This window comes from Homo sapiens, chromosome 14 (genome assembly GCF_000001405.40).
Source record: "Homo sapiens chromosome 14, GRCh38.p14 Primary Assembly".
In the NCBI taxonomy this organism is placed as follows: domain Eukaryota; kingdom Metazoa; phylum Chordata; class Mammalia; order Primates; family Hominidae; genus Homo; species Homo sapiens.
The window spans coordinates 59700872-59726639 of NC_000014.9; the positions used below are offsets into that span (position 1 = coordinate 59700872).

At 41.3% G+C, this 25768-nt stretch overlaps 1 protein-coding gene across 4 annotated transcripts in view; it reads right to left on the reverse strand.

The window, feature by feature from the left end:
* The window catches only part of RTN1 (reticulon 1), a 274801-nt gene that overhangs the window by 104896 nt on the left and 144137 nt on the right, over positions 1-25768 (reverse strand). Inside the window, exons 4-5 of one of the 4 annotated variants that reach the window (XR_007064042.1) lie at positions 25137-25318; positions 20050-21110 (exon numbers count right to left, since the gene is read on the reverse strand). The exons of 1 other annotated variant lie outside the window; for it this stretch is intronic. Coding sequence is in view for 2 of the 3 variants with exons in the window: in XM_011537063.4 (XP_011535365.1) it covers positions 25221-25318 (98 nt within the window). In the remaining variant the exon portion in view is untranslated. 2 more of the 4 variants (XM_047431674.1, XM_011537063.4) reach the window with 2 other exon arrangements.

Consider the following 25768-nt stretch of genomic DNA (forward strand, 5'->3'; position numbering starts at 1 on the left):
TCATAAAAATTAAAAACTTTTATTTATCAAAGGACACCATCAAGAAAGTGAAAACACAATCCACAGAACAAGATAAAATATTTGCAAATCATGTATCTGATAAGGAGAATGTACCTAGAACATACAAATAACTCTTTAGTTCAACAGTAAAAAGAAAATCCGCCTAATGTAAAAATGGACAAATCATTTGAATAAACATTTCTGCAAAGAAGACCAATGGCTGATAAGCACATAAAAAGATGCTCAACACTATTAGTCATCATTAAAATGCAAATCAAAACCACCAGAATGGCTAAAATTAAAAAGTGTGAGGATGTGGAGAAATTGGAATTCTCACACATTGCTACTGAGATTGTAAAATGGTGCAGCCACCTTGGAAAACAATTTGGTAGCTTCTCAAAATGTTAAACATAGAGTTATCTTATTATCCAGCAAGTTCACTCTTAGCTATATACCCAAGATAACTGAGAGCATGTGTCCTCACAAAAACCTGTACATGAATGGTCATAGCAGCATTATTCCTAATAGCTGGCAACGGAAACAACTCAAATGTCCACCAAATGATGAGTGGATAAATCAAATGTGGTATATCCATACAATGGAATACTATTTTGCCATAAAAAGGAAGGAAGTACTGATACATGCTATAACATGGATGAACCCTGAAAATATTATATTATGCTAAGTGAAAGAAGCCAAACACAAAAGGCCACACATCATATAATTCCATTAACAGGAAATTTAAACTGTGTCTATAATAGGCAAATCTATAGAAATAGAAAATAGATTCGTGGTTGCCAGGGACTGTGGGAAAGAGGGAAGGGGGAATGAACATTGAGGGGCATGGGGTTTCTTTTTGGGGTGATGAAATTTTTTGAAGCTAGATAGTAGTGATGGTTGCACAACTCTGTGAAGGTACTGAATTGTACACTTTAAAAGGGTGAATTTTATGGTATGTGACTATATCTCAATAAAGCTGTATAAAAACAAATGAACGAACACAAATTGGATATAGTTTGCTGACTCCTGTTTCAGATTCTTACGTAGTTATCTGTGCCTCACTTACCCTAACTGTAAAATTACTGAATTGGAGTAAATGTTCTCTAAGACTGCTTTCAGGTAAAACAAAATTCGCCTTTTACAAAAAAAATTATATCCAGAATTGAGATCCTGAGGCTCCTGTAAATCTTGTCACCAACAACACAATTTTTTAAGTTTTGCTTAGATAAGAATATTAACATATTTTAGAAAATAATTAACAATGGAGTTTATATTAATAAAAATGCTTTTAGATGAAGCATTGATTAATCAATAATTAAATAAGGGCCTTTAATTGCCTTCCCAGAGTGCTGCCGTGCACTGGAAAGTCTGTGCAAGCAGGACTCCCTGTGAATACACTGTACAATATGTCAAGGTTGCTTCCTCTTCAAAACTTACTTATGATCTACATCTGTTCTAAATAACTGAAGATAAATGTTTTCATAAGCTACTCATCTTATGATTGCTTATTTGGCTACAACTTTTAAAGTCCATTTTAATACATTTTGATATATAAAGTTTAATTGCCAGCCCTTGGTTGTCTTTACTACTGCACCCATTCCCTTGTGATTTCATTCAGTTGCAAGGCTTTTACCCATCCATTCTCTAGGGCTGCTGAAACCCAAAACTGTGGAGTCATCGCTGTTTCTTCTCCTGCCCCACAGCCAGTTGATCAGGAAATCTTGTGAGTTCTACCTTCCAAATATTTCCAAAACCTGATCATTTTTTCACTACTGCCACTACTACAACCCTGTTCCACCACCATCTCCCACTCGGGTTCCTGAAGAGCCTCTGATGGGTCTTCTTACTTCTGCCCTGGTCTCTCCTGTCTACTCACTATATGGCAAGCAGAGTGAGTGCTCACATCAGAGCAGCTCACTCCTCTGCTTTCACCCCATGGGGGTCCCATTGCACTCCAGTGAGAGTCATGAGGCCTGTGGTCTGCCTCCCCTTGCTTTGCTGACCTCCTTTCCAATGACTCTCCCTTCCAGCCACCCTGGCTTCCTTGCGGTTCTGTGAACACATCAGACAACTCCTGCTTTAGGGCCTTTACTGCAGTTGTTTCTTCCTCCTAGGCTGCTCTTCCACCCCATAGCTGCTTACCTAAGTTCTTTGCCTTCCTTAAATCTTTGCTCCACTCTCACCTTCTTCAATGAGTTCTCTCTCCCTTGACCACCTGATATAGTATAGTGACCTGCCCCTCCCTCCATCACATTCTCAATCCCTCTAACTCTTTCTACTTTTTCTTTTCCTCCCCAGAGTCTTACCACTTTCTAGCATACTATATAATTTGCATATATATTATATGATATCGTTTGGGTATTTGTCACCTCCAAATCTCATGTTGAAATGTGATTCCCAATGTTGGAGGTGGAGCCCAGGGTGGGAGGTGATTGGATCATGGGGACAACCTTCATGAATGGTTTAGCACTATCCCCTTAGTGATCAATGAGTTCTCACTCTGAGTTCACATGAGATCTGATTGTTTAAAAGAGTGTGGCACCTCCCATCTCACTCTCTTGCTCTCACTCTTGCCATTTGACATGGCTGCCGTCCTTCATCTTCTGATTGGAAGCTTCCTGAGGCCTCACCAGAATGACATGCCAGCACTATGCTTCCTGCAAAGCCTGCAGAACCATGAGTCAATAAAACCTCTTTTCTTTATAAATTACCCAGCTTCAGGTATTTCTTTGTAGCAATGCAAAAACGGACTAACACATTATGTTTATTGTTCTTGTCTTTCTCCCCCTACAAGAACGTAAGTTCCGTGAGAGCACAAATCTTCATTTTGTTCACTGAAGTATCTCAAGTGCCTCAAACAGTGCCTGATGTATAAGATGTAACAACAAATATTTGTTATATAAGTAAACCAGCTATCTATCTATCTATATGGAATGATGTAACTGAAATTTTGGTTGTTAGCCAACACTCATATGACCATTATTTAAAATGGCACACTGCTCAGTCAGATATTATACAGTGAACAGGAGTGTTCCAGGCTGAGGCCTACTCATCAGCAATGTGATTCCACAGTTTGAAGCTCCTGGAAAAACAAAGGTGATTATATTGTATTTTTCTTCCTTCTGAGGGGAAGGATGATAATATTGCAGGAAATCACAGATTCAGGTTTTTCAGCAGCATGGAGCTCTTGAAATTATCAAGTTGAGTGTTTTCTCTTCCCCTTTTAAACTTAAACCTATTTTTAGAGTCACAGATCCCACTGAGAGTCTGATGAAAGTTACGATCTTGGTCTAGCAAAATGCTCCTGCAAATATTTGCACAATTTCAGGCCCTCCAGGGACTTGCAGTCCCAGCATAAGAATTTTAATTCTAGTCCCTTCAAGAACAACCCCGCCCCCTCACCGCCACGAATAGTCAAATCTCTGCTAGGTTCAAAAATTGACTAAGAAGATTATGCAACATTGCTCAGAAATCCCATTCAATATTGAACGATGTTCCCCCTTGGCAAACTTCTCCTTATGTCTTTGTGAGGATGGAGTGAAAGAGCAGTAGATGCAATATGGTCTGCCATCAGGGGAAGGGGAAACAGAAATTCTCAGAGCTCTGAAAACCTGCTGGCACCAAAAATAGCAAGCTTTTGGAGCTTCAAAGGCCCAGAGTCACTAGAACCTACACACTAGTCCACATTTCCATTGACAGGGTGTCCCTACATCAGAATAAAGTGATGGCTGAGTTCTCATTTTCTGAATTCAGCATTGTGCTGTGCAGACAGAAGTAAAAGGAAATTGGAGAAACAATCAAATTGCCAGTCACTGAGAGAGCAGAGAGGAGAGAAGGGTACGAAAATGGCAGTGAAAGCATCTTGGGGGAGCCAGTGCTGGTACTGGAATTGGACTTGTGCTGCAGCTGATTCCCGGACACTGTGATCAGGAAGAAAACCCACCTCTCCCAAAGGTGGTGCCACAGACCATAGACGTATCATTTTGATGCCAACTGAACATACTGGGTTGGGGGAAGGGAGAAATGGGTAATCAGAGAGCTGGATCATCATTATAAACACTAAGCAAAAAGCAGCTTTTACAGCTTTTAGTTAGCCCAAAAATATTTTCCTAGCTCTGAAAAGTGGTGCTCAACTGGATAAAAAGTTTATATATAATAAGGGAAATATGGCGGATTTAAATCTTTCCTTTGTGCCTAGAAGCACCTTATCGAAAGCACTTTTGAGGGTAGAGGTGAAATAAGACATTCAACAACCTCCCCCTATTCCCAAACTCAATTTTACTTTTGCTTCCATGCAGGCTGCCACAGGCTCCCAGGAACAAGCACACGGAAGTCTATGCGTACTTAGGAGTTCATATAGTTATCTGTCCCTCTACCCCCTACCCCAACTTTGCAGCTACATTATGATCAGCCTCTACTAAGATGGGCATTTACGTTTAATTGTACAGAGGGCTAATGAGTCTCTAAAGTTATCCAGTAACTCCAAGTACACTGTGTAAACAGGAAAACAAGGAGGAAATGCACTTACTACTTGCTTCTCTCCCACTGGTGTACTAGCTATCACTACAGCATCTGATAATGATACTCAAGCTATTAAAGCAATGATTCTTTTTATGTGCCTCACGTCCCAGTAAGCCAAAACAAATACTGTGATTACTTTAGGACAACTCAACCTTTCTCCCTAAAGTAAGAAGGCTAAGAGTCATTATTTTGCTAATGTTTCTCCCTGTCCCAGATTTTTTGAAGATATGAGAAAACAGGCATAGAAAAATTAGAAGAGTCATACATCTCAAACATCTCAACATCAATCATTAACACAGACAAGGCTGGGTTAAGCATTGCTTGCTTTCATTGCCCTTATAACACTTTATTACACCTATTTGTTTGTATATATGTCCCTACAAATACCTTGCAGGCAAGCACTGTGTCTTACTCATATTAGCTTCTGTTGGGGCTCAGAAAATGATACCCCAAAATATGGCCGTTTGGCATGCTGAGTGCTTTGAACAAAGGAGGCTGAAAGGCCTCAGAGCCAAAGTCTCTCTCTGACCTTCTCCTGCCTCCCCGTTCACCCCCAGCTTTTCCTTCCAAGGCACAGAAAGCGGCTCTCTCTGAAATTCTCTTACCTGACTAAGGGAAGTTCATCCAGAAGGAATGCAATTGTTGTGGACTTCCTCCATTGAATCTACACTGGGCAGAGAAGATTAACTCATAAAGCAGGAGAGGAAGTCTCCATGCTCATGACACCACACCCGACAGACATTTCACCTATTCTCTCAACTATTCTTCTTTACCTGCATAAGACAAACTTTGTTTGCAGTATCATTCTGCCCCTCACATTCCCATAACTTGTCATCACCTCTCCCAGAGGCCAGAAGAACCGTGTCCCAGGCTATTGTCTCTTCTCTGGGGCCACTAAAATCCCCTAAAAACCATTTAGTCTTCCTCTGAAATTGCCTACATCCCTCACTTTACATCTCCCCTAGGAAAAGAATATTTAAGCATCAGCCATCTGACCCTTTTTTGAGTTTCATATTTTGTGTGGCTCCCATGAACACCTGTAATGCCTTTTCTCCTGTTAATCTGTCTGTTGTCAGTTTATTTCAACAGACTTAATGACTTGAACCTTCAGAGGGGAAAGTTCTCCCTACACTTCTCCAGTCACAGACCAGTAACTCACATGCAGTAGTTGCCTAATATTTGATTCCTGAATGAATGTATGGAACATGTGCACATGTGAGTGTGTGCACACGTGTGAGCAAACACAGACACATAAACACAGAAGAATTCACATGGGTTGTTCATGATTCTAATTACCTGACCTCAGAATCTCTTTGTTTCTAATGAAAGGAATATTAGTAATCTCCGTGATGCTCAATGTTCTGCTCAAACTGACCTTTAAAGAGCTTAGGTAAAGAGAAGGGCGCTGGACATCTTAACACTTCTCCCTCCTCTGAAATCCAATAGCACTTAGGATTGACAGGATTTGTAGCTGAAGTCAAACATAATAGTATCTGGTGTTATTCTTTAAATATTCTATATGTATTATTCAATCCCCTTGATGGGTTGAGGGTTGGTAAAGCATACAGTTAAAAGCAACTCCTGGAGAAAAGTTTCTTTGTTACTCTCCAAGGAACTTAACTAAGAATCAGACACATACAGGTGTTCTAACCATGTGCTGAACTGAAGAACTGCTGAATTCTGAAGAACTGAGAACTGAAGAACAAGCTGACTTAAGCCCAAGGTCCATCTAGCTCCAAAGCAACAACAAAAACTCTGATGGCTTTTAAAGAGCAGATTTGTTTTTCATCCATATAATGTTCATGGTTAATGTTGAAACATAATTAATTAGCTAATGACAAGGGTCTATCTTTAACAAGAGCCTCAAGGCACAGGGTTAGAGGGCACATTTGTTGCCCTTGTAGCAACCTTAACATGTCCATTCCAATATTCTAATTCTATCATCTATCAGGCCTTCTTTGACCATCGTATTTAAAATAGCTTTCTTTAGCCTGCTTTATTTTTGAATTCACAGCACTTGCCAATGCCTGATACTATATGATGTGTGTTTATTTGTATACTATTAGTCTCTTCCACTAATGAAACTCCATGAGAGCAGGAAGTCTGCTTTGTTCTCCACTCTCTCCCCTAGTGCCTAGAAAAGAGCCTGGCATGCAATGGGTTCTCAATAGTTGTTGATATAGCAATGGTGCTGAATTTACAAATGTTCACTCACCAAGAGTCAGCATCATTTGAAATAAGGAAGAGAGGTCTAGGAAGGAGTTAACTGCTTGATAATTCTCTCTCTCTCTCTCTTTCCCTCTGTCTCTCTCTTTTACACACACACACACACACACACACACACACACACAAATACATACACACAAACACACACATGCACTGAAACAGAAGTCTTCAGGAAATGAACACCTACAATCAAGGAGACATTCTGACAACAGCCTCATCCAGTATTCAGTAGGAAGAAACAGGACCCAATCAGTATGAAAGATTTGAAAAGAGATTGCTGTGTTCTACTGAAACTAAAAAAAGATAGGGAATTGCTGCAAGTAAGCCAGATGGGGTAGAATGCCATGAAACTTACAGCAGATGGCACTAAAATATTAAACTAACATTTCCTTATGCTCCAAGCTGAGCTGTATGTTAACGCTGTTTATAGGAGCCAGTCTATTTAAAAACATACAGATGAAAAATGAATCCGGTATTGTTAAATCATTCGTTAAAAACAACTCCAAGCATTAGCACCTAATGTGCTTTCCCACAGGAATATGTTAATATTATTCAAGCAAGGTTATATCTAACAAAACCACTCAGAATAGGAGGTGGGGGGAAGCCCACAGTCTCAGGAATCTGTTCAAAAACAAGCTCGGTGTGGTAAAGCGTGAAAGTCTGCTTCTCTGATTTCCATAGCAACAGCAGCAACCCTCAGACAGACATTTTTAAAAACCAGATTTGTTTTTCTCCTTTCCAAATACCTTTGCATGATATTTTCAGATAATGTTGAAATACAGCTGACATTGCATAAGGTGTAAACACACAGCTTGTTCCAATTGCTTCAGTGTTAGACAGCGTGGCTCATCATTTTCTCTCTTAACTCACACGGTGATTCCACTGGCAACAGGTCAGCACCTGGCTCTCTGGGGATGCCCCAGTAAAGTATTGTCAACTGAAAGTCAGGCTCAATAATATTTATAGACTGGCATGAGCTACCCAGTTGAGAAGACACTCCCAAGGTTTGTAAGCCATGCAAAGAAATGACATCCATCTGCTTTGCAAATATTATTTAAGGCTTCCCCCTAAAAAGGAGCCACGGAATGCTTATTTACTTTCTCACTGAATCTGAGGGGTAGAGACTATCAAGTCCCAGTTACTAAGAAGTCAGGAAGAGAATTAAAAATAGAACCATGGAAACAGGGATGCACTGAAGAATTCTATCAACTATTCTATATGTTTGAGGAATTTCATAAGAAAATATTGGGAAAAAAGAAAATCCATCTGATCATCGCATACTATACAGACTGAGAGAACTTTCTACTGCTCCATATTCTTATTATAGTTAATGTAGTGGAAAATAGAAGTTGAGAGATTTTTGCTCATTGGCTAATTAAAACTAACCAACTGAAGGGGGAAAAACATTTGGAGGATTCTTGGGAGAATCTGCATATGAACTAGGCATTAGATGATGTTAAGTATTTGTTTTGTTAGATGTAATAATGAGCCTAACTAGTTATATAAGAAAATGTCCTATTTTTAGAGATGTACACTGAAGCTTGTAGGGGTGAAATGTCTTGGTGGCTGTGACTTAATTTTAAAATGCTTTTCCCAAAAGTAGACAAAACAAATATGACAAAATGATAATAATTGTTAAATTTTGTTTATCTATATATGAAAGTTCATAATACTATTTTGTTTGCTCAAGGTATGCATCTTTGCATAATAATCTATTTAAAATGTCTCAAAAAATGGAGCTATGAATACTCATTTCAAATCACAGATGAGAGTTAGGTATTTGAAGGGACAACCTTACCTTGTCTTCTTTAAAGGATAATTAAAATATATTCTATTTTATGGATGACAGTTCTTAGTACTTGTGAAATACATTGTATGGATTTCTAGAGTGAGCGGATGCACAACTACTTTAGAAAGCACGTCAATGGTGGATAAAATAGATGAAGCACAATGCACCAAACAAACAAGTTGTTACAAGAAACCTCCTTATAAGGAGAATCTTGCCCCCTGCCTTGTGGTGCCAGTCCGCCTGCCTATGGGGGTCCAGGCAGACAAAAAATTGCCCTGAATTAGAAGTACACCAAAGCTTACTTCCCAGTTCAGATAATTGAAAGCATATAACAAAAATGGGAGAGCTTTTTAAGAGAAATGGCAGTCATCTGAAGCATTTTATGTAAGAGGGATTTGTCTATCTACTCTAAAGAGGCAATTCCATGTTTATCACGGGAAGAACATAACTGAACCTCACCCCCAAATACTACTTCAAATATTCCTAAATTTTCTCATTGTTCAAAGTTAGCTTCCCATAAAAAATAACCATAGGGCTGAACACCTTCCTTTTTAATTTTATTTCCCTCCCTCCCTCCCTTCCTTCCTTCCTTCGTTCCTTTTTCTTTCCTCCTCTCCTCTCCTCTCCCTCTTTCTTTCTTTTTTTTTTTTTTTTTGACAGACTGTCACTCTGTTGCCCAGGCTGGAGTGCAGTGGCACGATCTCAGCTCACTGAAGCCTTACCCTCCCAGGCTCAAGTGATCCTCTCACCTTAGCCTTCTGAGAATTTGGGAGTACAGGCGTGCACCACCATACCTGGCCAATTTTTGTATCTTTTTTTTGTAAAGATGGGGTTTTGTCATGTTGCTAAGGCTGGTCTCAAACACCTGGCTGGGTCTCCCAAAGTGTTGGGATTACAGGCATGAGCCACTGTTCCCAGCCAGGGCTGAAACTTCTTTGCATGTAAAGTTTCACTTTAAAAAATAGAGGAGAGGAGTCTGCAGCATTCCAAGCTTGACATAAATTCAGTCCCTTTTAAAGAGAAGTTCCCCAAATGGTTCTTTCTGTGAATCGATCCTGCTAACCTGGCCACAGCTGAAAGGACCAGAATTGGAGGCTTGAGCTAAATGTTGAGCATGGGGGGAATAATGTCCTTGAGGTGGGCTGTGACAGGTGAGCTTCACACTGGATGGTGAAAAAGCAGCCCATGCTGGGGAACAAAGATGCTGAGTGCACCAAAGGAGGTGGGCTGCCAACTGAGCTCAGGGGCAAAGCAGGCCTGCCATGGCCATGCACTACAGGCCCACCAGAAAGGCAGCTTTGGAAGCCTCAGGTCGGGGGCTGATCCACAAAGGACAGCCCATCTGAGTGGCCTCACATTCTCTCATCTCCCTGAGTAAGCCCCACCACTGACTGTAACCTGGGTATACTGCCATATCTAGTACAGAAAAACAATCCAATTATAGAATGTGATAATTGCTGTCATTTCCAAAGTGCCATTTCTTCTACCAACCTAACCACCTTAAAAGCATTATTCAATTTAAATTTCATTACAATTCTAGCAAGTAGGAAATATTCATTACATTTTATAGATGAGGCTTGGGAGGTTTCAGGGAGGTAAGTGTTGGACTCAGGTTCAAACCCAAATCTTTCTTATTCTAGAGTTCATGCCTTAATCATAACATAATACTGCCTGTCTCTAGACCAGCCTTAATAACAAACCTTGTTTTTAATTGGGTTCTGCAGTATTCAAAATGAGAAGAAGCATTCATTGCAGAAGGTTTTCCATTTTATGGGGGTTATAAAGTTTCAACAGACTGGTCTTGTGCAAATTCGATAGGCTCAGCTCAGCAAAGAAAAGGCTGAACACAGGCCCACAGTGATATCACCTTCTGCTTTGCCAACTCAAGTCTTTTATTGCCTATGTCAGCTGAACCTCAGAAAGCATCCTTCTCTGCTGACTACATTTGCCCTTTCCTGGGGTGATCACTCCAGGAATGAACAACTGAGAGATAAATGCTCTTCGTGAGTAATAGTAGGAGATCCACATATAATGTTCTCTTCTTAATTAGCCTATTATTCTTTAACTTCTCTTTGGACTCAATAACATTTAAATGTGCTTTTGAAAAAGAACACAAGCTATAAAGCACATTGACATAAAATAAAATCCCACAACAGATTTCAGTGGCTTCACCTTTGTGTATGGAGTTGCCATTCACTTATTTATTAAATGTTTATTAAGACCCCACTACTCACTAGGCATCACTGTAAGCACTAGAGATACAGCAGTGAACAAAAGCCTGTGATCTCAAAAAGCTTAACGTCTACTTGGGAGAGATAGGCAATAAACAAATAAAGGAAGGCATACATCAAGTACTGGGTGATGATAAGTGCTTTGAAGATCTAAGACAAGAGATCATTGTGAAACAGGTCCATGATAGGGACCTCATCAAATTTCCAGTGCGCTCCATGCATCAAGATGCATAGAGTCATGTGACAAATTCTGGCCTACGAGCCATAGGCAAAAGTGACATGTATCATTTCCAGGGGAGGCTTTTAAGAGCTGGTGTCAGCTCTTTCTTCCTCTGGCATGGCAACCTGAGAAGCCATATGTTGATATTCAACTGGCACAGAAGAAAGGGAGCTTGGATCCCTTTGTAGCTGAATAAAGGAAAGCCTCCACCAAATAGCAATAGTTGAAAGCCAGAAATACATGTTTGTTGAGCTAAGCCATTGAAATTTTGAGGTTTGTTACTGTAGTATGGCCTAACAGAGTCAAAAGAGTAAGGCACACACCTGAGGCTAAGGGAGGATTGTGGAGGGAGCCCCAAAATACATAGGCCTAAAGATAACAAAAATCTATATACAGCAGATAGAGCTAAGTGGTATCCAACCCTGGCTGGACATTTTAAATCAGCTGGGGCATACTAGAAAATACTGATCTACAGATGTTATATCCACATATTATATTCTGAGATATTATGGGTGAGGAACTAAGCATATATTTATTGAAAACTACAGTCAACAGAAAATGACAAATTGGGTCAGCTGGCTTTAGGAAACCTCCCGAGAGGCAACCTGTCCCACAATATACTTTGGAAAGAGCTTATTAGTGAGATCAATTCAACTTCCGATAAATTGTTGGAAAGCAGTCAATCAAACTGTGACATAAGAAGAAAACTTGCAAACTTACTAACTGAAATGTTATGAAACAGTATGTTGCAGAAAGTATTCCTGCATTAAATAAGTAATTAGGCCGGGCGTGGTGGCTCACACCTATAATCCCAGCACTCAGGTAGGCTGATCACCTGAGGTCAGGAGTTTGAGACCAGCCTGGGCAACATGGTGAAACCCTGTCTCTACTAAAAATACAAAATTAGCTGGGTGTGGTGGGGCATGCCTGTAATCCCAGCTACTTGGGAGGCTAAGGCAGGAGAACTGCTTGAACCTGGGAGGTGGAGGTTACAGTGAGCTGAAATCACTCCCATTGCACTCCAGCCTGGGTGACAAGAGTGAAACTCCATCTCAAAAAAAAAAAAAAAAATGAGTAACTGTATTAGATTCTCCCAAAGCCCCATCTCATTGTATAATTATTATTAAAATAAATATTTAAATAGCAACAACATTAGAGGATAAGCACTTTACCTAAATTATCTCAAATAATCATCCCAAGAATCCAGTGATGTAGGTACTATTATCTCCTTTGAACAGACAAAAAAATCGAAATGCAGACAGGTTAACTTGTCCAGAGTCACATAGCTAGTAGTAAGTGGAGAAGGTAAGACCCAGATCCAATTGGCGCACGATTCTTTAACGCAGTGAAAAGGGGATGTGCAATCAAAACGATACGGTGTCTTGAGGGAGGGAATCTAGACAAGGGGCCACTGGTGGGGGAAAGGACCTCAGGCATGGGGTTGGGAGCAGCTGCTGTGATTCTAGTTGCGGATTCCCAGTCCTTTGAAAACAGAACAGTTTCACAGGATGCCAAAGCATGATGGAAATTTCCGATGAGAACAATCTACTCTTTTTGCTCCAGGCAATAATGAGCTGAGCTCCCCACTAGGATGAAGTTCCCCTCATACATTTCCAGTGTAACTCATAACTTGGCATTCTGGTTTCGACCAGACTCAGACAAGCTTCAGAACACTTACTGCTGAGAATGGGTCCTTGGACTAAGGAAAATACTGCAAAAAGTCACAAGCATGTCTTACCCTCAGGCAGCTCACTGCTTCGCCCAATTCAGAGAGAATCAGTGATTTCCCAAGTTTGCTAGTCTAGCCCTAGACAGGGACTTCAGTTTTCCTAGGTGTCTCCTAGCTTTTAGAGAGTGCCAGCTACTCACCTTGTGGTTATACAAGATTTGTATAGTTTTTAATGACAACATTTCAGGAAGAAGCAATAAAACATCTTGAAGACAGAACTGTCTTTTTAAAATTTGCTCAGAATTACCATACCAGTAATTCCAGCAGTTGAGCAAAGGACAGTACCAGCAAAGGACAGTATAAAGGGGAAAGGAACAGAGAAGAAGCAAGACCTATAAAATTATGCTTATAAAAATTAGACTAATAGGCCGGGTGCGGTGGGTCACGCCTGTAATCCCAGCACCTTGGGAGGCCGAGGCAGGCAGATCACGAGGTCAGGAGTTCCAGGCCAGCCTGGCCAACATAGTGAAACTCTGTCTCTACTAAAAATAAAAAAAATTGGCCAGGCATGGTGGCAGGCGCCTGTAATCCCTGATACTTGGGATGCTGAGGCAGGAGAATTGCTTGAACCCAGGAGGCAGAAGTTGCAGTTAGCCGAGATTGTGCCATTGCCTCCAGCCTAAGTGACAGAGTGAGACTCCGTCTAAAAAAAAAAAAAAAAAAAAAATAGACTAATTTTATTATGGGACATGTGCCACAACATACATTCTAACTATAGATCTTCTTTCTCAATTTTATATTACATCATGGGTTATCCCATTAGAATAATGCTGGCTACAGTAATAAATAACCCCAACATTTCAGTGGCTTAACATGGAAGGAATTTTTTGTTGTTGTTGCTAATTTAATAGATGAGTGTGAGTGTTCATTAGCAGGTAGCTTTCCACCAGGTAGTCATATAGGAGCCCAGGTTCCTTCTCCTTTGCCATCCCCTTGGTCTAGAGCCTTGAAGGAGGAAAAGGCACAACTGCATCTCACCCATCTTCCCAGATGTAACCCATATCATCTCCACTCACATTCTATTGGTAAGAATTAGACTCAGAGCTTCACCTGGCTGCAAGGAGGTTGGGAAATACAGTCCGTGACTGAGAGCCACTTCCCAAGAAGGACTACGCTACAGAAGAGCAAGTATCAATTTGATGGAAAGTTACCCACCTCTACCCATTACAACATGGGCATCATATAAACTAGCAGGTCCCCAAACCCCTGGCCGCAGACTGGTACTGGTCCGTGGTCTGTTAGGAACTGGGCCACACAGCAGGAGGGGAGCGGCAGGTGAGTGAGCATTTCTTCCTGAGCTCTACCTCCTGTCCAATCAGCAGTGACACTAGGAGATTAGATTCTCATAGGAGCGTGAACCTTATTGTAAACTGCACAAGCAAGGGATCTAGGCTGTATGCTCCTTATGAGACTCTAATGCCTGATGCTTTGAGGTGGAACAGTTTCATCCTGAAACCATCCCACCCTCCCACCTTCCCATGGAAAAACTGTCTTCCATGAAACTTGTCCCTGGTACCAAAAGGGTTGGGGACTACTGATATAAACTACAGGGGCAAATATATACAGTGGGAGAGACAAAACTTAATAGTTCAGGTGAATGACCTTATGTCTCATCCCAGAGGCAAATCAGTTCCAATTTGACAGAGGAACAGTAAGGCTGGAACCTCAAAAGTGTCTCTTTCTCAGAGAACTTTGCCCTCAGGCTCTAGGTTTGGCTCTGAGACTTTCCTCATCAACAAGTCCCTTTATGTTTTTAGCCAGAGTAGTGGGCCCTGAGGAAAAGATGTCTCCATAAGAACTAAAATGTAAATCATAACAGGACTTATAAATCATTCAAAGCCAAGATTTTTGGCTTTAGAACTATAGCATGTCTTGGTGAAATATATAAAAACTTCTCCAAATTTCAGGATTCTGTTTTCAGAGGACTAAGAAAGGGCATTACAAATCTGGACCTTAGGCTGGGTGCTGTGGCTCACGCCTGTAATCCCAGCACTTTGGGAGGCAGAGGCAGGTGGATCACTTGAGGTCAGGAGTTCGAGACCAGCCTGGCCAAAATGGTGAAACCCCATCTCTACTAATAATACAAAAATTAGCCAGGCATGGTGGTGGGCACCTGTAATCCTAGCTACTTGGGAGGCTGAGGCAAGAGAATTGCTTGAACCTGGGTGGTGGAGGTTGCAGTGAGCCGACATCGCACCACTGCACTCCAGCCTGGGCAACAGAGTGAGACTCCATCTCAAAAAAAAAAAAAAATGTGGACCTAACAAAGAGAGAAGGAAGAAAATAAAAGGAACAAATTGACAATTAGACTATTTTACTTATATCCAAACTTTCTAGAATCATTTATTTATGATTTTCTTTATTTTCAACATTTAAGAAAACCATGATTCTATGTAAAAAAGATTCAAGTATAAATTGGCTAAGCTAAAGAAAATAATTACATGCTTTCCAAGTGATTGGACTGAATTTCCGGCTTACAGACCATGCTAACACTTGAACTAGCTGCCTATATTATATAGCATTATAAAACTATTTACATCTATATACATTTTTGATATTAAATCTTAAATCTCCAAATTCTAAAGCAACTTGCCATAGAGAACATTTAGCTTTGCTTGTAAGCAGGCCAATTACCTGGAAATCAATTTAGTTGGAAAAAGACACTGGCTGAAAATGAGTAGATCTTATTTTAAATCCTGGTTCTTCTACCCATGAGAAATAATCTAGAACAACAAACTGTACCTCAACCCTTGACTTCAATTTGAAATGAAGATGTTGACCCAAAACTCCAATTAGTAGGAAAGCACAGTTCATAAATTCTACATGGTATTATATTTTATGTTTTGGTAGAGGCCAAATGGTCTAGCCTTACAACTAATTCTGCTGAAAACTAAGTTACCCATTTGGAAATATTTTTTGGAACTCTGTCTTTGTGCTTGTTTCAAGGAAAATTCGGAGGGTAATTTAAATAATCAATCACCACAGAAACAGTACAGCGATGTGAACATTGTAAATTCATTTAAAGACATATCTTCTTATATCATAATCCAAGAAATCTTATTGTAAAGTTCAAATTGTGGTGGTGTGAGTGAGAAGAAGTAGAGGTTGACCTGTAATCCCAGCACTTTGGGAGGCCAAAGCGGGTGGATCACGAGGTCAGGAGATCAAGACTATCCTGGCTAACACGGTGAAATCCCATCCCTACTAAAAAAATACAAAAAAAAAAAAAAATTAGCCAGGCGTGGTGGTGGACGCCTGTAGTCCCAGCTACTCGGGAGGCTGAGGCAGGAGAATGGCGTGAACCCAGGAGGCGGAGCTTGAAGTGAGCTGAGATCATGCCACTACACTCCAGCCTGGGCAACAGAGCGAGACTCCATCTCAACAAACAAACAAACAAACAAAAAAAAAAAAAAAAAGAAGTAGAGGTTGAATATTTTCATGGCAACCACTGGATGGCAATAGACATTAACAGTGAGTGGGGATAATCAATACAAAAGCATCTTTCTGCTTTACTTGATTTTCTTTGCGTTTTCAGAAGTAGAATCAAACTGAGCTCCTAGAGATGTTAGGGAGAGGTAAACAAGAGTGAATTTGGAAGTGAAAGAATTAGGTTTTGGGGCACATACTCTGCTTTTGCAAGTGCTTTGTAGGCAGATAAATCTCCCAAGATTTCAGTGCTCAGCCAAGAGTTGTAAGAAAATGAAGTGCCTGCCAGAAGGGAAGAGTTAAGCCAGAATGTTATATTTACCAGAATATGCAACTTTGAACTGGATTACTATTAGTGGTAGTGAAATGTTTGATCTTGTGTAATAAAGTCATGCCGGTTACTCTTGATTGTGAGTGGAAGACTACAACTCAACCCCACTCCTCTCCCTCTCCTGCTACAAATTTTCCAGGCTATGAACAGAGATCACCCAGAGGACTCCTCTCACCCAGGAGGCCCCAAACTACTGAAACAATGAATGGTTAGCTCCTCTGTGTCGCCACCATATACTGTTGGGGCCTTTGTTCTAGTGGCATTGTGGGGTGGAGAGATGTTAGGTAGCATCCCCTGGATGAGCTGGCAAGACCAGGCTGTGTTTACATGATCTCCCCTTCACTCTCCCATACGGAGGTGGAAGTCTCGAAGTAAACAGTATACATTTCACTTTAAATTCTACTTACCCACAAGAACCATTTAAACTAACATCTAAGCCCAAACAGAAAATCCAACTGGCCTTGGAAAAAGTTGGGTTACTGGAGGAAAAACCTGCCAAAGATTACTCTGAGGACGTTGAGAGATCAGCCCCGACATAGTCCCTAGAGTAATGATTCTCAAGTTCTCTGCCTACAATTAACTGCGGAGCTACTTAATGAAGCAGATGCATTAGCCCCTTCCTAGGAAATCCTGGGGTGAGCCCGGGAATTCTGTATTTCAACAAACTGCTTCCGATATAAATGGTCTACCAACTACCCTTTGAGAAACACTATCTAGAAAAACTGATCAGTTCCACTGAGCCCCTAATCTGCTCTTCCTGCCATTCACACCCACTTCCACAAGGAAAGAGAAAAGTCCTGGATCAATGCTTTGCCTGGCCAAGAGGACCACCATTTCAACCTAGGTCACTTAAAATCCAGGAGTGCCATTACAGAGACGGGGCGGACTCAGGAATCTCTGAGTAAATCACCAATAGAGACCATGGCCGACTGCAGTCTTGAGCTGAAGTAACCAGACTGAGTGATGTGCTTGCCTCAACTTGAAGCCCCAGTTTGAGTATCTACTTTAAAGCTGCCTTCGCTCTAACTTTAGCCTCTGACTTTTCCTTGCCTGTTAGTAAAATTTTGATTCACATTTGGGATGTTCTTTAGACTTTCTGAAGCTTTTGTGATTTCTTGGCCCTAGGCAAGCATGTATCTAACTCTAAATAACCAACTTGCTTGACCATAATCCCTACCTATCTCACTAAGGGTCTTATTTAACCTCCACAAGTGCCATATTGGACCATTCCAGCTCCAGTGTCAGCCACCCAAACATCACCATCACCTAAATATATTAAACCCGTTGCTTGGCCAGGAAAATATGCTAGATACAGTGCTCAAATAGGGAGATCATTTCAGTGCTATCATAATCCAAATGGATGAGTTTTTCCAAAAGCAGACACACAAAAAAACGAGTTCAATGACTAATGAAGCAGCATCAAAGTTTGGGGTATTTTTCCCCATTGTAAATATTTTTGCATCTCTTTGTAATCATTGTGTTGACAAAAACTGAAATATAATTTGAGGGGTATTGGGGATAAAGTCACCCCTACCACAAATCCAAAGCATCGGTAGGTCCTATTAAGTCCATCTCCAAAGCATATCTCAAATCCATCCATTCCTCTCATCTCCAATGCTACCACCTCTCCAAGCCATTGCCATCTCATGCCTGCAAGAGCTTCCTAATTTGTCTTCCTGCTTCCATGCTTGCTTGTCCTCCTTCAACTCTTTCTCCCTACAGCAGCCAATGTGACCTCTAAAGAATGCAAAGGAGGTCATGTCACTTTCTAGTTTAAAAATCTTTCTGAGGCTTCTTAGAATGCTTAGGAAAGACCAAGCTCAGCACCATGATGTGTGCATGGAAGGGCACTGCCAATCTTCCACCTCTATTTCTTGCCATTCTTCCCCTTGCCTACCACATTCTAGCAACATCAACTTGTTTCCCATGTATAGAATATCCCTAGAACTTTCCTGTCTCTGGCCTTTGCATTTTATATTGTCTGGAACTTGCTTTAACCAGCTCTTGCCACAGTTGACTTCTCAGTTTCCTCCTTCTCAGAGGCCTTCTCTGACCTTCCTAAGTGCCACCCACCACCAGGTAGTCTCTTACACATCACTCTGTTGATTTTCTTCTTAATGTCTACTCCCTCTTCCACCAGAATGTAAGCCCCATGAGGGGTGGATTCAAGTCTGCTTTGGTAACCACTACATTGCTAGTGTCAGGCACATCCTATGCCATATTGGTTGAATCAAAGGAAAGATGGATGTATGAATAGGTGGGACTGGCATAACCTTGAGTGAAATTTATGTATTGTATTTTTGTATTGCAGGAGTGTTTTGTGGGGTCACAAAGATAGAATCTAGAAGTGCAGAAACTATGTCTATGAGGATCCCACCCAGACTTCAGAGGGAAGTAGGGTTAGTATTTGAGACTAGAGAATCTCCTTGACCTCATGTTGCCTCTGAGAATTAGAAGTATCTGAATTATGTCTTCCAAACTCCATTATTATAAGTTAGGTTGATCTATGTGAGGAACAGAGGAGAAAAAAGCCTGGATAGGGAATTAGGATTGCCATTTATTAATAAATAGGATCATTATTTCTTGGAGGCATAAAAATGTTTGCTGCCTGGGAGCTCTCCCTCTACAGGCAAGTTTAAGGTTGACTCGATTCCATTTCAGGAGCTGATCAATGCCCTACTGCATGCCCAAACCAAATTTACTAGGAGGGTTTATTGTGTCCCAAAGATTTGGTATTAAAAGTATTACCAAGGTACAATAACCATTTTAGATCTTTACACACATCTTGGAATTGAAGTGGCAAGAATAACTGTCCCTAGAAATAATAAGTGCTGGAGCCACCAAGATTTGCAGCAATTCTATCCAAGGCTGAGAAGGAAACCCCACCACTCAGTGAAGCCACCATTTTAAAAAAAAAACATAGATCGATATGCAATTGGAACACTGCTAACTCTGTGACAGCTTCAGAAAGAAAAGCCATGAATTCAGCTGGCTGCTGGCAGCCTCATCCAGGGTTGCCTAGACCAGAAGAGCTCCTTCTATCACTGGGCAAAGTCTCATAAAAGTAGCTTAGTTGCTTTCAATAGTCTAAGGTGGGCTGGTTGCAGTGGCTCACGCTAGTAATTCCAGCATTTTGAGAGGCCAAGGCAGGCAGATCACTTGAGGCCAGGAGTTCAAGACCAGCCTGGCCAACACAGCAAAACCCTGTCTCTACCAAAAAATACAAAAATTAGCCAGGCATGGTGGTGCATGCCTGTAGTCCCAACTACTCAGTAGGCTGAAGCAGGAGAATTGCTTGAACCTGGGAGTGGAGGTTTCGGTGAGCTGAGATCGCGCCACTGCACTCCAGCCTGAGTGACAGAGTAAGACCCTATCTCAAAAAAAAAAAAAAAAATACTCTAAGGTGGAAAATCGATGTCTCCATCTAAGTATTTCCATGGCATAGCACATACCAACACAGGAGTCACACTTTATCCAGCAGTTACTGGTCCATCTTGTTGAAAGCTGACAAAGAACAGCAGCTTCAGTGGAGGGGCATAGAGCTCAAGTGGAATCTAACACCTGTATTGTGAAAGAAAGAGACTTTCCAAGAATCTTTATAGCCCGGTATATTAATACAGTCTCATGAAAGTGAACACATACAGGACTAGGGTATAATGACTTTTTTTTTTTAGAATTATGAGAAGAAAGTAAATGGGTCATACTTATTTTGGTTCCCTCCCAAATATTTTAGGACAGAAGTAATATCTAGTATAATAATGAAAAGTGATAACAAACATCATAAATGCTAGACAGATGAAAATCTATTCTATTTGAGAAGACCTCCACCTGGTAGCCATCCCACAAATCACCCCTCCAAGGAAAAGACAGGTTTTCCCCTGCCACAAGGGGCTGAGCCCTCCAGCCTCAAGCTGCTGTAGCTGCTATACACAGAGGAGGCCATGGGTGAGCAGGCTGCAGAGGCCTGCCTCCCAGGGCACAGACAGGTACCTCTCTAACAGAAAGAGATAGAAACAGCTGAGTCCCCCTCAGCATCTTTAATTTAAAAGCATGATATGTCTAAGTCATGCTCACCAACAAGTTTTCTTAGAAGGTCTGGGCTGCTTAGCTCATCTGTTTACAATAGAAATTCTCAAGCTTCAGTGTGATTATTAAAAGTGCAGATGTATGCCCCAGCCAGTTCTCATTCTGTAGTTTCGAGGTGGGGGTAGATTGAGAATCTGAATTCTGAACAAGCACTCCAAAAGGTGCTGAGGTACCTGGTCCCCAAGCAACACTTAAGTCCTTGCTAGCTTAAAGAAATATTTCTCAATCTGGGTCACTGGTTGTGTACTTTAGGGTTCCAAAAAGAGAATTTCATTTTTGTATTTTTATTTTGATATTAATTTTTCAAATAGTAAGAACACTCTGGATCACCTGGGTGATAATTTTATAACCAAACACTACTGCAAGACTTCTACTGAAGTATTTACAGTCAGGTCGGCACCGAGTACCTTTAACTTTGTCTCAGGCTAATGAGTCTTTACTTGGATCCAGACTTAGTTCTTCTAAATGATTTTGTTGCTCTCCAATGGATGGATGGATGAAAATTCATTTTACTCAACTCCCTGTTGGTGTTTTTTCCAACTTTTTCATTACTATGAAAAACGAGATAAGAAAGATATTCATATGTATCTTTCTAACTCTATTTACACATGTGTATAATTTATATATTTTTGCCCACCTGCTATAGCATTTCTATGGGATAAATTCCTAACAGTATTCAAAAAGTATGAGAACTTAGAACTGTAAGAGGGTTAGAGTCCTGGAGGTTGAGTGTTCACACTCAATGACATCACTTCATTTGCTCAGGAAGGGAACAGAGGAAGGAAAAGAGCAAATTTTGATAAATTAACATGGACATACGGAATTTGGGAGGTCTATGGGATGTCCAATACACAGTGAGGGAAATCGGCTTGGAGTTTAGAAAAGAGGATTTCTTCAAAGCAAGAGATTTGAGAAGTGTCACACATAAAGCAGTGCCTGAAAACCTGCATGGGTGACAGCAGCTTTGACAGCAAGGATAGGCAGGAGGAAGAAAGACAAGGATAGAACTCAGGGACAACACAGAGGAACTGGAAGGGTGGTAGCAAAAGAGACTGGAAAAGAGGTCAGAGAGTAAGAGGAGAACCAAGAAAGAGAAACATCAGTACGATAAGGGAGGAAAAAGTTCTGAGAAGGAGTGAACGATTTCCATGAGAGCTGATATTGTCCCTAATTTTATTGTTAAATGACATAAGTTACAAAACAGTATGTTCAATATAATGTTACTTTTTCAGTGAAAAACTATATATTCCTGAATACTTAAAGAAATTCTTGAAGAACAAGAACAACAATAAAAAAAAAACAATACAAAGGCCTGTAGTGACGTGTGAGAATTAGGGATGGGAGGGTTGAGTAGGGAACTTTTAACTTTTTTTTTTTTTTTTTGAGACAAGGTGTCTTTCTTTGTTGCACAGGCTGGAGTGCAGTGGTGTGATCAAAGCTCACTGCAGGCCCGACCTCCTGGGCTCAAGTGATCCTCCCACATCAGCCACCTGAGTAGCTGGGACTACAGGCATGCACCACCACACCCAACTAATTTTTGTATTTTTTGTAGAGATGGAGTTTCATCATGTTGCGTAGTCTGGTCTTGAACTCCTGGGCTCAAGTGATTCACCAGCCTTGGCCTCCCAAAGTGCTGGGGCTACAGGTGTGGGCCACCATGCCCAGACTCTTTAACTTTGAATTCTGTGCCATTTTGTACAGTTTGAATTTATTACAACAAATATACATTACTTTATTATTAACGTTTTAAGGACTGATCAGCAGTATGATATTAGATTACCAGAGAGGACAAGAAAGATGAGATTGAAAAGAGGCCATTTGTTTGGCAAGAAGACAGTCAGTTTCAAGTAGGAATATGAAAGCATACTGCCATCGTCTAAAACCCTGCTACCCTGGCCGAGTGCGGTGGCTCACGCCTGTAATCCCAGCACTTTGGGAGGCCAAGGTGGGTGGATCACAAGGTCAGGAGATCAAGACCATCCTGGCTAACATGGTGAAACCCCATCTCCACTAAAAAAAAAAAAATACAAAAAATTAGCCGGGCGTGGTGGTGGTGGGCGCCTGTAGTCCCAGCTACTCGGGAGGCTGAGACAGTAGAATGGCGTGAACCTGGGAGGCGGAGCTTGCAGTGAGCAGAGATGCTCCACTGCACTCCAGCCTGGGCAACAGAGCGAGACTCCGTCTCAAAATAAATAAATAAATAAAAATAAATTAAAAAAAATAAAACTCTGCTTCCCAAGCTTTAAAGTGTATAAGAATCACATATGCACTTATGCACAGGGGATCTTGATTCAGTACGTCTTGGAAGCAGCCTGAGATTCCCCATTTCTAACAACCTCCCACATAATATCAACATGGCTGGTCCAAGCCACACACTTTTGAGTTGCATGATAAGTAATCAGAATGCAGGAAACAAGCTCAAGGGCAAAGATACCATGATTTCCCAACAGGTGTCCCCCTGGAATATGAACCCAACGGCACACTCTAATAAAAAGTATTCTACAATCACATAGGTTTGGTAAATATCACATAACTATCCTGATTAATCACACTGGGTATTAGTGCTTTTATGAAAATTTTTAAATTGGCTTTTTACTTGGACATTCCTAACAGTTACGGCTAATCTTGTAGAAAGGAAAACATATCTACCTGCTTTAGAATCTAATGTTTATAACAGGTCATCCTAGAAGGTGTAGGGGAGCAGAAATACAGGGCGGCAAGAGCTCAGGGGCATACAAGGAGGAAAACTGAAGCATGAAGAAAGAACTGCGTTTTGTCTCCAGTGCAATAACTGCAGAGGTCTCTGAAAGGTGAGAAAGCTCCAAAACTAGGCCTTGTTAGAGCACGTGCACCAGTTACCCTGGTGCTCCTCCATGGTACATGCAATGATGCCATCAAATATCTGTCAAACCTTATCCTAAATATTATTCTAAATATTTCTAGGCACTTCTGAAACTCTGTCCAGCATCAGCAGGATGGCTCATCCCCTGGATACTTGTGAATGCATAAAATTAATGCATGCATACTGCCAGAAGCTTCAGTGGACAAGAGCAGGAAACCACAGAAGCTGACCGGACCTCACTGTTGCCAGGAGTCAAGCTTGGCATGAGCACAAACCTGCTGTCCACAAACAGTGATTAAGAACAGCCTGGGGCTGGGCGTGGTGGCTCACGCCTGTAATCCCAGCACTTTGGGAGGCCAAGGCAGGCGGATCGCCTAAGGTCAGGTTCAGTGAGCCAAGATCACGCCATTGCACTCCAGCCTGGGCAACAAAAGTGAAACTCTGTGTCAGACGAAAAAAAAAAAAAACAGCCTGGGGAAGGCTGGGCAGCGCTGATCCTTTCTCACCTGCTGAGACAGAGCAAGTGAGACCAAAAAGAACCTCAGAGCTCAAATTGCCTGCTGGCATTGCTGAATCACCTGCTCAGGACCTCCAGTTCTTGGCTGCCTCAGAATGGCCTTTTAGACTCTTCATAGATAGTGCAGTGGAGCAGTGAGTTTCAGTGGGAGACTAGATTTCAAAGGACCCCTCCGTGCAGAAGAGAGTGGAGATTATTCACCTTGGCACGCCCTCATCTTTTGAAAAGACTGCCACACCCTCCTCTCTACCTTCTAAACTTGGCAGCACAGGGTCCAAGCCATATGGGGCAACTTGTACAGAGATTCAAATGACACAAAATTGGCCATAAAAGATACTCTGAAGCCTTTGCATTCACAGCTGCAGTTTTCCATCTCCTCAGCTCTTCATCAGGTGTCTGGTCAGTCAGTCCCAGCTGTTGTCCTTGTCTCTCAATAGGCCTGCAAAGTTCCCTTTTCTCTTTAGCCCTCAGATTTATCTACTTTTGAGAATAAACATATTTGAACAGCACCGTGCACACGGTGACTATCTCAGGAACATTAGTTAGGGGATAAAATGGAGACACATGCCTGTTACAGTACAGTGACATGAACACATGCTCAGCATGACTCAAGCTTGACTGTTTTGGGGCCCCAAGGGGCTGAAGGTTGTTCATGTTAATACTTTTTCCTGTGGTTCCCTGCAAGCTGCAGCGTCTTTTCTTACTATGTCAGGATAGTAGCAAAAAAACCCAAAATGGTTTTAAGATTGACCCAACAAACACATTCCCACCGTTAAATTTGTCTTCAAGTATCTTCCCTATCACACACACTAAATATGCTTTCAGCTCTTTAAGAAGAGCTATTTGGGAAGTCAAGAGTCAATTATATCAGCCCCCACACCATGCCACATGTCTGAGCCACAGCAACTATGTATCTTTTTATTTCAGTCCTCTAGATTCCTCTATTCTATTCCAATGTGTTAATTTTAAAGAATTTAGCAGCTAGCTTCCAATTTAAAATAACGAGAAAGATTTTGTCCTCTATTTTTATATGAAGCACTTTAACTGCCGCTAACATCATTGAAGTTAGCATAGACACAGGAAAGAGGGCGCACCCTTGAAATCACTTATCTCCAAAAGGAAAAGGCAAAGAAAGCACTTCTAAAGGAAAGAAAAGTAGAAGAGATGGGTGGGAGGGGACCTTGAATACAGTTGTTAGGGTTTGTTTTAAAGTCCTACCTGAGTGTTCTCTCCCCAGGAACAGGGTAGAAGTTCTCTAACTTCACCCATTAACAAAAATAGAATGAGCAGGACCTCACTTAGTCATGTGACTCTAATTCCTTTCTTGAATTCCATAAGACAACTGCAATCAGGTGCGGTGAACGATTTTTGGGGAAGAATCTCTTGTACACGTATAATGTCTGGAAAACAAATGACTTCCATTTTTCTTGCATTTGAAGACTCACCTCAAAATTTTTCATAGGGAGAACATAATGACCACATTAAATTCATTCTAAGTAATAAGAGACTTTAAAAGTGAATGAATCACCTTCAGTCTTGCTTAGGGACAAGAGAAAACTCTGGACCCAACTGTGGTCTCTGTCTTGCCTGACTCACTGGGACATAAAAACCTTACCAAGGCCCAAATCCCTTGCCCTTGGGTAAGAGAAAGGATGGAGCTGAGCTCCATTTTGCATACTTAAGAAACAGGCCTGGCTGGCAAAATAGAACATGCTAGTGGTGGGTTCCAGCACCTACAGAGACTGAGCAGGGGAACTGGACCAGAGCCTGGACAATAACAAGAAAAGCATCGCTTTCCTGGGGGAGGAAACCCAGCCCTGGAATGGAAAGACAGGCGCATGCACTCCATT